The following is a 12451-nucleotide window of genomic DNA, read 5'->3' on the forward strand; positions in this document are numbered from 1 at the left end:
ACCCTGGAGATGAAAAAATAAAGTCTTGACTTATTAAATGTAGTTTAAGTTAGTACTCTTTCCACTTCCTGGAGAATTCAAGAACATTAGAAGATTTTAACTTAATTAGTTCTCTTTAATCTCTTATGTTATCATTGCCACATATTTAAAACCCTACTAAGACATTATTGTTATTGCTTTAGATAGATAATATTTATTAGATTTACTCATGTATTTATCTTTTCTTTGCATTTGATTCATTCTTACATTTGAGTAATTTTGCTAAAAATATTTTATTAATTTGAATAACTTTATATAAATATTTTTCTAGTGGTTTTTTTGGCAAAGAATTCTGTCAGTTTTCTGTTTATTTGGAAATATTATTATTTCACCTCTAGCATTAAAGACTATATTCTTTAGCTATAGAATACTAAGTTGGTAACTATTTTAAAAAAAACCCTTTATACATATATGTTCAGCACCTTAAAGTACATTATATCATCTTATGGCTTCCATTGTTTTTATAATAAGAAACCAGGTGCCAGTCTTATTGTTCCTTTTTTACTTTAATAAATTGTTTGCAACATTTTACTATAATATGGCAAGGTGTGTTTTTCATTTTTCTTTTCAAAATTTATACTTTAAAAATTCTGTAGCTTGATATATTTTATCACTTTGAAAAATTCTTGGTCTTTAGAACTTCAAATATTATTTCTGCTTTATATTCTCTTTCTTCCTCTTTTAAGACTCGAATTTCATTTTACATTAGAATTTCTTGAGGTCGAGCCAAGATGGCCAAATAGGAACAGCTCAGGTATACAGCTCCCAGCTTGAGCGACACAGAAGACAGGTGATTTCTGCATTTCCATCTGAGGTACCGAGTTCATCTCACTAGGCAGTGCCAGACAGTGGGCGCAGGACAGTGGGGGCAGTGCACCGTGCATGAACCAAAGCAGGGTGAGGCATTGCCTCACTTGGGAAGTGCAAGGGGTCAGGGAGTTCCCTTTCCTAGTCAAAGAAAGGGGTGACAGACGGCACCTGGAAAATAGGGTCACTCCCACCCGAATACTGCGCTTTTCCTACGGGCTTAAAAAATGGTGCACCAGGAGATTATATCCTGCACATGGCTCAGAGGGTCCTATGCCCATGGAGTCTCACTGATTGCTAGCACAGCAGTCTGAGATCAAACTGCAACGTGGCAGCGAGGCTGGGGGAGGGGCGCCCGCCATTGCCCAGGCTTGCTTAGGTAAACAAGGCAGCTGGGAAGCTCGAACTGGGTGGAGCCCACCACAGCTCAAGGAGGCCTGCCTGCCTCTGTAGGCTCCACCTCTGGGGGCAGGGCACAGACAAACAAAAGACAGCAGTAACCTCTGCAGACTTAAATGTCCCTGTCTGACAGCTTTGAAGAGAGCAGTGGTCCTCCCAGCAAGCAGCTGGAGATCTGAGAACGGGCAGACTGCCTCCTCAAGTGGGTCCCTGACCCCTGACCCCTGAGCAGCCTAGCTGGGAGGCACCCCGCAGTAGGGGCAGACTGACACCTCACACGGCCGGGTACTCCTCTGAGACAAAACTTCCAGAGGAACGATCAGACAGCAGCATTCGCGGTTCACAAAAATCTGCTGTTCTGATGATACCCAGGCAAACAGGGTCTGGAGTGGACCTCCAGCAAACTCCAACAGACCTGCAGCTGAGGGTCTTGTCTGTTAGAAGGAAAGCTAACAAACAGAAAGGACATCCACACCAAAAACCCATCTGTACATCACCATCATCAAAGACCAAAAGTAGATAAAACCACAAAGAGGAGGAAAAAACAGAGCAGAAAAACTGGAAACTCTAAAAAGCAGAGCACCTCTCCTCCTCCAAAGGAGCGCAGTTCCTCACCAGCAATGGAACAAAGCTGGATGGAGAATGACTTTGACGAGTTGAGAGAAGAAGGCTTCAGACGATCAAACTACTCCGAGCTACAGGAGGAAATTCAAACCAAAGGCAAAGAAGTTAAAAACTTTGAAAAAAATTTAGACGAATGTATAACTAGAATAACCAATACAGAGAAGTGCTTAAAGGAGTTGATAGAGCTGAAAGCCAAGGCTCGAGAACTACGTGAAGAATGCAGAAACCTCAGGAGCTGATGCGATCAACTGGAAGAAAGGGTACCAGTGACGGAAGATGAAATGAATGAAATGAAGCGAGAAGGGAAGTTTATAGAAAAAAGAATAAAAAGAAATGAACAAAGCCTCCAAGAAATATGGGACTATGTGAAAAGACCAAATCTACATCTGATTGGTGTACCTGAAAGTGACAGGGAGAATGGAACCAAGTTGGAAAACACTCTGCAGGATATTATCCAGGAGAACTTCCCCAATCTAGCAAGGCAGGCCAACTTTCAGATTCAGGAAATACAGAGAATGCCACAAAGATACTCCTTGAGAAGAGCAACTCCAAGGCACATAATTGTCAGATTCACCAAAGTTGAAATGAAGGAAAAAATGTTAAGGGCAGCCAGAGAGAAAGGTCGGGTTACTCACAAAGGGAAGCCCATCAGACTAACAGCGGATCTCTCAGCAGAAACTCTACAAGCCAGAAGAGAGTGGGGGCCAATATTCAACATTCTTAAAGAAAAGAATTTTCAACCCAGAATTTCATATCCAGCCAAACTAAGCTTCATAAGTGGAGAAATAAAATCCTTTACAGACAAGCAAATGCTGAGAGATTTTGTCACCACCAGGCCTGCCCTAAAAGAGCTCCTGAAGGAAGCACTAAACATGGAAAGGAACAACCGGTACCAGCCACTGCAAAATCATGCCAAATTGTAAAGACCATCGAGGCTAGGAAGAAACTACATCAACTAATGAGCAAAATGACCAGCTAACATCATAATGATGGGATCAAATTCACACATAACAATATTAACTTTAAATGTAAATGGACTAATGCTCCAGTTAAAAGACACAGACTGGGAAATTGGATAAGGAGTCAATACCCATCAGTGTGCTCTATTCAGGAAACCCATCTCACGTGCAGAGACACACATAGGCTCAAAATAAAAGGATGGAGGAAGATCTACCAAGCAAATGGAAAACAAAAAAAAGGCAGGGGTTGCAATCCTAGTCTATGATAAAACAGACTTTAAAGCAACAAAGATCAAAAGAGACAAAGAAGGCCATTACATAATGGTAAAGGGATCAATTCAACAAGAAGAGCTAACTATCCTAAATATATATGGACCCAATACAGGAGCACCCAGATTCATAAAGCAAGTCCTGAGTGACCTACAAAGAGACTTAGACTCCCCCACAAGAATAATGGGAGACTTTAACACCCCACTGTCAACATTAGACAGACCAACGAGACAGAAAGTTAACAAGGATATCCAGGAATTGAACTCAGCTCTGCACCAAGCAGACCTAATAGACATCTACAGAACTCTCCACCCCAAATCAACAGAATATACATTTTTTCAGCACCACACCACACCTATTCCAAAATTGACCACATAGTTGGAAGTAAAGCTCTCCTCAGCAAATGTAAAAGAACAGAAATTATAACAAACTGTCTCTCAGACCACAGTGCAATCAAACTAGAACTCAGGATTAAGAAACTCACTCAAAACCGCTCAACTACATGGAAACTGAACAACCTGCTCCTGAATGACTACTGGGTACATAACAAAATGAAGGCAGAAATAAAGATGTTCTTTGAAACCAATGAGAAAAAAGACACAACATACCAGAATCTCTGGGACACATTCAAAGCAGTGTGTAGAGGGAAATTTATAGCACTAAAAGCCCCCAAGAGAAAGCAGGAAAGATCCAAAATTGACACCCTAATATCACAATTAAAAGAGCTAGAAAAGCAAGAGCAAACACATTCAAAAGCTAGCAGAAGGCAAGAAATAACTAAGATCAGAGCAGAACTGAAGGAAATAGAGACACAAAAAACCCTTCAAAAAATTAATGAATCCAGGAGCTGGTTTTTTGAAAGGATCAACAAAATTGATAGACCACTAGCAAGACTAATAAAGAAGAAAAGAGAGAAGAATCAAACAGACGCAATAAAAAATGATAAAGGGGATATCACCACGGATCCCACAGAAATACAAACTACCATCAGGGAATACTACAAACACCTCTACACATATAAACTAGAAAAATCTAGAAGAAATGGATAAATTCCTTGACACATACACCCTCCCAAGACTAAACCAGGAGGAAGTTGAATCTCTGAATAGATCAATAACAGGCTCTGAAATTGTGGCAATAATCAATAGCTTACAAACCAAAAAGAGTCCAGGACCAGATGGATTCACAGCCAAATTCTACCAGAGGTACAAGGAGGAACTGGTATCATTCCTTCTGAAAATATTCCAATCAATAGAAAAAGAGGGAATCCTCCCTAACTTATTTTATGAGGCCAGCATCATCCTGATACCAAAGCCGGGCAGAGACACAACTAAAAAAGAGAATTTTAGACCAATATCCTTGATGAACATTGATGCAAAAATCCTCAATAAAATACTGGCAAACCGAATCCAGCAGCACATCAAAAAGCTTATCCATCATGATCAAGTGGGCTGGTTCAATATATGCAAATCAATAAATGTAATCCAGCATATAAACAGAACCAAAGACAAAAACCACATGATTATCTCAATAGATGCAGAAAAGGCCTTTGACAAAATTCAACAACGCTTCATGCTAAAAACTCTCAATAAATTAGGTATTGATGAGACGTATCTCAAAATAATAAGAGCTATCTATGACAAACTCACAGCCAATATCATACTGAATGGGCAAAAACTGGAAGCATTCCCTTTGAAAACTGGCACAAGACAGGGATGCCCTCTTTCACCACTCCTATTCAACATAGTGTTGGAAGTTCTGGCCAGGGCAATTAGGCAGGAGAAGGAAATAAAGGGTATTCAATTAGGAAAAGAGGAAGTCAAATTGTCCCTGTTTGCAGATGACATGATTGTATATCCAGAAAACCCCATTGTCTCAGCCCAAAATCTCCTTAAGCTGATAAGCAACTTCAGCAAAGTCTCAGGATACAAAATGAATGTACAAAAATCACAAGCATTCTTATACACCAATAATAGACAAAGAGAGAGCCAAATCATGAGTGAACTCCCATTCACAATTGCTTCAAAGAGAATAAAATACCTGGGAATCCAGCTTACAAGGGACGTGAAGGACCTCTTCAAGGGGAACTACAAACCACTGCTCAATGAAATAAAAGAGGATACAAACAAACGGAAGAACATTCCATGCTCATGGGTAGGAAGAATCAATATGAAAATGGCCATACTGCCCAAGGTAATTTATAGATTTAATGCCATCCCCATCAAGCTACCAATGACTTTCTTCACAGAATTGGAAAAAAAACTACTTTGAAGTTCATATGGAACAAGAAAAGAGCCCGCATTGCCAAGTCAATCCTAAGCCAAAAGAACAAAGCTGGAGGCATCACACTACCTGACTTGAAACTATTCTACACAGCTACAGTAACCAAAACAGCACGGTACTGGTACCAAAACAGAGATATAGATCAATGGAACAGAACAGAGCCCTCAGAAATAACACCGCATATCTACAACCATCTGATCTTTGACAAACCTGAGAAAAACAAGCAATGGGGAAAGTATTCCCTATTTAATAAGTGGTGCTGGGAAAACTGGCTAGCCATATGTAGAAAGCTGAAACTGGATCCCTTCCTTACAACTTATACAAAAATTAATTCAAAATGGATTAAAGACTTAAACATTAGACCTAAAACCATAAAAACCCTAGAAGAAAACCTAGGCATTACCATTCAGGACATAGGCATGGGCAAGGACTTCATGTCTAAAACACCAAAAGCAATGACAACAGAAGCCAAAAATGACAAATGGGATCTAATTAAACTAAGGAGCTTCTGCAAAGCAAAAGAAACTACCATCAGAGTGAACAGGCAACCTACAGAATGGGAGAAAATTTTCCCAATCTACTCATCTGACAAAGGTCTAATATCCAGAATCTACAATGAACTCAAACAAATTTATAAGAAAAAAACGAACAACCCCATCAAAAAGTGGGCAAAGGATATGAACAGACACTTCTCAAAAGAAGACATTTATGCAGCCAAAAAACACATGAAAAAATGCTCACCATCACTGGCCATCAGAGAAATGCAAATCAAAACCACAATGAGATACCATCTCACACCGGTTAGAAAGGCAATCATTAAAAAGTCAGGAAACAACAGGTGCTGGAGAGGATGTGGAGAAATAGGAACACTTTTACACTGTTGGTGGGGCTGTAAACTAGTTCAACTATTGTGGAAGTCAGTGTGGCGATTCCTTAGGGATCTAGAACTAGAAATACCATTTGACCCAGCCATCCCATTACTGGGTATATACCCAAAGGACTATAAATCATGCTGCTATAAAGACACATGCACACGTATGTTTATTGCGACACTATTCACAATAGCAAAGACTTGGAACCAACCCAAATGTCCAACAATGATAGACTGGATTAAGAAAATGTGGCACATATACACCATGGAATACTATGCAGCCATAAAAAATGATGAGTTCATGTCCTTTGTAAGGACATGGATGAAATTGGAAATCATCATTCTCAGTAAACTATCACAAGGACAAAAAACCAAACACCACATGTTCTCACTCATAGGTGGGAATTGAACAATGAGAACACATGGATACAGGAAGGGCAGCATCACACTCTGGGGACTGTTGTGGGGTGGGGGGATGGGGGAGGGATAGCATTAGGAGATATACCTAATGCTAAATGATGAGTTAATGGGTGCAGCACACCAGCATGGCACATGTATACATATGTAACTAACCTGCACATTGTGCACATGTACCCTAAAACTTAAAGTATAATAATAATAAAATAAAAAAAATAAATAAAATAAAAAAAGAACTTCTTACTATTTTCCACGTGGCTCTTACACATCTTTTTGTATTTTATATATTTTTCTTTCTATGATTTAAAAAGCTTCTAGAAGCCCTACTTAACCATAATAGGTTCAGAAGAAAAATGGTAAACACATAGTAATCAGCGGTGCATAACAATGATGAAATCCCACTGGGCAGATGTTACAAGGATAAATCCATTAGCTTCTGTATCTTCACCCAGGGAAGGGCTTCCCAATGTACTGTTCTATAGGATCAGGTTCAGATGTCTTACCCTGCCCTGTAAAGGGCTTCAGAAAAGAAATCCAGCCCCCTTCTCCAATCTCTTCTTCAGTCTCTTTCCTTTAGGTCCTTCAGTACCTTTCCTCTTTCTCTCCCACATCATGCTCTTCTGTCATTTTTGGACCAAGGCTCATACTCCTTCTTCTGTCTGAAATGGCCCTCCCCTCTTGAGCTTTTTGGAAAGCTCTTCATCATTCTGCACAACTCAGCTCAACTATAACTTTCCTCTGACATTCATCTGCATTCTCCCTTCACTAAGACAGAGTAAATTTCTTATTTATGTTCTAACAGCAATTTACACCTACATCTATTGTACCTTTTACTGTATTGTCATAGATAACCCTCTGTGTACCCACTGCTTCTATGATAATTTGGGTGTCTCAATCAAGGACTAAATTTATCCTGTTTATCTTTGAATCTCTAGAACCTAGCAGAGTACTTTATACATGGGGAGCCCTCTATGACTGTGGTTGAATTGCACTGCTGAGTTTATACCTATAGAAGCTGCCTCTGACCATGTAATATAGGACCGCTGAACAATCTTCTCATGACCTGAACTGGATTGTGTGAGGTTGAGAGGTGATGAGAGTTAGTAAGAAAATCATTCCTGAAGACTTAGGAGATTAATATGGCTGTTGAAGTGTGTTAACTGTATTTTGCCAAGCTCCGAACATAAGGATGGGAAATACAGAGGAAGGTAGTAGGGCTATGGTAAGAGGTTAGAAATCAGGCCCCAGTTCTCCAAAAGAGTGTCCAGAATATGTTGGGTAATGGGGACATATGGTGATATAAACAAGATATAGGCAGGAGTTCTAGCTTTCAAGAATCTTGAGCAGACTCATAGCCAGGTAAAAGAAGGCTTTGTGAAGGCTTTGTTAAGTGAGCTACTGTGATGGCAGTGGAGTAACTCATTTAACTCTACCTCTCTTTGTCTTTTTTGTTGTTTTGGGCTTCCACAATGTAAATGAAATACTCTTTAAACATGCCTCTAAGCTGTGTAGCCAGTGGGGATGGATGTGTGAAGTCTGGACATCTTTTAAGGTGCAGTTTTTGAGGAGCTCTTAGTTCTGGTGAGCCCTGGGGGAAATCATTACTAGTCTTACTATTTGCATTTAACACATTTCTGGGTGGAAGTCATCAGCTTTCTCCAGGGTTCTTCTTGAAGTGGGGAGAATCCTGGGAGTCACTTGGAATTAGATGAAAAGCAGATAGGGATGTTGGTTGTTTCAAGTTCATCACTTTCTATTTATCAGCTTCATCAAGGCCATGGAAGGTTCTAAATTGGACGGAAGTGCTCCTTTTTCTATCCTGTCAGTCAGCTGTTTCAGAGAACTGATAAAAGAAGTCATGCTTTCCCCCAAAGGAAACATAAAACAGTCCCAAGATAAGGATGACGTCCCAGGCCTGAGACTCCTGTGTCTACCCTTTTCTTTCAGAGCTCACTGCATAAGAAGAATGGTGGCCATATTAGGAAGATTGGTCCCTTAGCTCATTCTTGGGCTGGATCCTTATTTGAGCTCCCACTGGGGTATAGAACATGCCTTTCTCCCAGTTATCTTCTTTGCTACATTGCTTGTCATGTTATGTCAGCATCAGCTGCACAAAATCCAAGAGGATCTCATCCTAGGACTTCATCCCTAAGATCTGGGGAGAGTTTCCAAAGGAGAAGGTCTTATGTGGTAAATGTACTCCCAGCTGTCTCATAGTGGGGACCAATGAAAAACTGAGAGGGGTGGAGAGTAGAGGTGTTTAACTCAGAACTCAGTAGAATTGCCCTGCATTGGGGATGGCGAAAGTGTGTGTGACAACTGTCTTTAAGCATTATACAGACCATTAGATGGCACATGTGTTCTTTGTACACATGGTTTTATGTGGGGTGTAAAAGGAAAATGGTTGAATTCTGTATATTATCTGTCCAGGTTTGCATCAGAGTAGCCAGATGTTTGCTTGACCAGGGTGGTTGGGATGAAAGCTATTGGGGAAGAAGGTGGCTAAGTGAGTTTGAAGGCCACTTGCTCCTCTGAAAAGTCACATCTCTGGGCTGGAAGAGCACCGGCCTTGCAGTTGGCAGACCAAGGTTTCAAACCTGGCTTTGCGGGTAACTCAGTAAAAGGCCATCTGGAGTCACTTTCCTTTCTGTGTCTTGGTTTCTTTATATCCCAAAGGAGGAAGTTGTTTTCTGTCAGTGGGTTTCAAAGCTGCTTACTTTTAAAAAAGTAAAAGGGACCTCCTTTTCAAAGGAAATTTCATACTATGCCTATACCTAAAAGAGACAGAGATATGCTCTTCTGATTGAAGAGAAGGACTGCGGGGCTGGGAATAGTTAACCTGTTGCTTTCCTCTTCCTTTCCACTTCCGGGAGCTCCACAGAGCACAGTATTGGAACAAGATGATAACTAAGCAAACAATCCTTTATTCTAGTGCCAATAAAATGTATTTCTAGGATCAACAAGGTAATTTAAGCTTTAAGTATAGTGTGCTTTACAAATGAGAGGCGTGGTAATTGTTCTGGAATTAGAAGGTTTTAAATTCTGGTAGATACCTAATGAGGTCTAGGCCATATGGGACTCAGAAGATGGGACACCCTAAATGTTAACTGTTAGTGAGAGCAGGGAGTGTTTATTCTGTGCACCACTGGATTTCCAGTGCCTAGCACAGTGCCTGGTATATGCTAGTTGCTCAAAATTTATTTAATAACTAATGGTAGGAGCATAGCCTTTCTGTTATTCCACAGAAAGAATCTCCTGTAACTCAAGAGGGGCTGGCAAGAGAGTCTTATCCTGGGAGCCAGGCTGTGGGCTAAGACTAAGGAAGAATAGGCTGAAAGGGGCTGAGGCCCTGATCTCATGGGGGATGCTGGGCTGGACATGAGAACTGAGCTGACTGTGCTTCAATGGACAGTGTGTCTGGGACTCTAGGGTCATTTCTCCTGCTCAATTGTCCAGGGACTTCTTGGTATAGGCAGTGGCTTGGGCTTTGGCCTCCTTTAGGGTGGCCCTGGTCTAAGAGAAGCAAGGGAGGGGCCTGAAGAATTTTCTGGTAGAGACAAGGCCCTGAGGGTTCCATGCTTTGGACTTCAGTCTCCAGGACTCCTCAGGTCCTTCTCTCATCCAAGTTGTGGCCCTCTGGGGATGATGATGGGGGAGAGCAGATACTCTGGATTGACCTAATGTAGGAGACACAGACTTTTTTGGCAGGTGCATCTAAAGGTTTCAGCTTACTCTGGAAAGAATCATTAATGTGTACCTGTATCTTTTAAAATTGTTAATAGTTTGCTATAGAGTAAGATTTGATTTGTGCAGGTCTGTTTTAGAAATTCAACTACTTCTGTTACCACACTGACCTCATTCTGTTACCACAAACTAACAGAATTTGACAGTAAAAAAGTTAGGTATATTCCACCCCTCCCACATCATACATTCACAAATTTTATCTTATTCTTATTATGTGTCCATTGCTCTTTTGTTGCTTCTGTATGAAATATTTTGGTCTTGTGGCAGAGTGAAAAACAAACAGGCAAGTCATGTGGTGGCTGACAGAGCTTCTTTGCAGAAGTGGAATAAGCCACTATGCTCACATGGCAATGGTCAAAATGAGTCACATGCCCTAGCTTGGCATCACTGGGGTGGGGACATACAATCTTCTCCTAAGGAGGCATACTATGGAGAGGAGCAGCACATATTTTGAAAGATAATTTAATCTACTAAAATAATTTGTTTTTATGGGTTTATAAGACGTATTAATTTTTATATGTTGACCTTTTATCCATCAATTTTACTGAGCTGTCTAATATGTGGATTGCTATCTAAAGACAGCAGTTGTTTCAACTTGAAACAGCAACTTATGTCTTCCTTTTCAATTTCCAAATCCTTATTTTTGTTGTTGCATTACTTAGGACATCCATACAATATCAAATAGTAGAAATAGTAATAGATATTTTTTAATGTTTCTTACTAAATGTAAATGCTTTAAAATATTACCCTTATGTAAGATATAATTGATATGATTTAGACAGTTTCCTTTTATTTTTGTCTTCCAAAAGACTTAAAAAAATTAATCATTAAGTGTTAAATATATAGAAGTCACCATGCTACAATGTGGTTGTCAGTCAGCTTTCCCTAGGTTATGCTGTGGGGAAGAACCAACCCCCAAATTACAGTGCTTTCGCCAACAATAAAAACATTTATTTCTTGTTTCTATTACATGTTGGCTGCAGATCTGCTGAGGCTATATTCTAGCTGGGTTTCTACTCCATGACTTCATAATTTTGGGATTATGGAATTATTTTATTTATAAAGTGAAGTCTTTTTCTTCCAGTGTGATAATCATAACCTTTTAATAGGAGTATTTATTTACTTGTAACATAGTTAATATCGTTGTGCTTAAATCTACCATCTTATTATTTTTTTCTATTGTCTCATATGCTCTTTGTTCCCCCCTCCCCCATTTTCTTGGATTTTTGGGATTTAGTTTTTTTGTTTGAGACAGGGTTTTGCTTTATCACTCAGGCTGGAATGCAGTGGCACAAACATGGCTCACTGCAGCTTCAACCATCGAGGCTCAAGTGATCCTCCTGTCTCAGTCCCCAAAGTAGCTGAAACTCCAGGCACCTACCATCATGCCTGGTTAATTTTTTTGTGGGGATGGGGTATCACCATGTTGCCCAGGATTGTCTTGAACTCTTGAGATCAAGCAATCCATGCTGGGATTACAGACATGAACCATGGTGCCTGGTCTAATTTGGTATTGTTATGATCCTATGTAATAATCACAAGTGGCTTGCAAACTGTACCTCTTTGTTTTATTCTTGTAACATTCTAATCAATTTTTTTTTAAAAAGATGAAGCCTCACTGAGTTTCCTAGGCTGGACTCAAACTCCTAGGCTCAAGTGATCCCCTAGCCTCAGCCTCTTATATATCTGAGACTACAGGCATGTGCCACTGAGTTCTGCTGTTTTATTCTTTTAAAATTGTTGTTCGAGGCACTACCCTTGCTGCCAGTGTGAATGTGCATGTGGAGGCCACCGGTCCTGTACCTGCCAGTGCTCTACCCCAGCTGATGAGCATGCATTCCGTTGTGTTACCACTGCTGCTGGCACATGCCAACAAGCATGAATCCCACTTCCTCTGCCCAATGAAGCCCTTTGGCTAGCACTATCCATGGGAATATTGTGGCCAGAGGTATGGGAACACCTTGACCTCTCCAGCGTAGCAAGTTCCTAACCTCTAGGGGCCAGAAAACAAAGCCAGGAGCCTAATACCAGCCCTCTA

At 40.4% G+C, this 12451-nt stretch overlaps 2 annotated features.

Moving 5' to 3' along the window:
* Positions 518–1152: an enhancer, noted in NCBI's record as "NANOG-H3K27ac-H3K4me1 hESC enhancer chr14:24994916-24995550 (GRCh37/hg19 assembly coordinates)". NCBI's record gives its function as "activates a minimal SCP1, AML or CMV promoter by ChIP-STARR-seq in primed H9 embryonic stem cells {active_cell/tissue: H9 hESC(primed)}" and the evidence as "EXISTENCE:reporter gene assay evidence [ECO:0000049][PMID:30033119]".
* Positions 1153–1785: an enhancer, noted in NCBI's record as "NANOG-H3K27ac-H3K4me1 hESC enhancer chr14:24995551-24996183 (GRCh37/hg19 assembly coordinates)". NCBI's record gives its function as "activates a minimal SCP1, AML or CMV promoter by ChIP-STARR-seq in primed H9 embryonic stem cells {active_cell/tissue: H9 hESC(primed)}" and the evidence as "EXISTENCE:reporter gene assay evidence [ECO:0000049][PMID:30033119]".

This window comes from Homo sapiens, chromosome 14 (assembly GCF_000001405.40).
Source record: "Homo sapiens chromosome 14, GRCh38.p14 Primary Assembly".
NCBI classification, from domain to species: domain Eukaryota; kingdom Metazoa; phylum Chordata; class Mammalia; order Primates; family Hominidae; genus Homo; species Homo sapiens.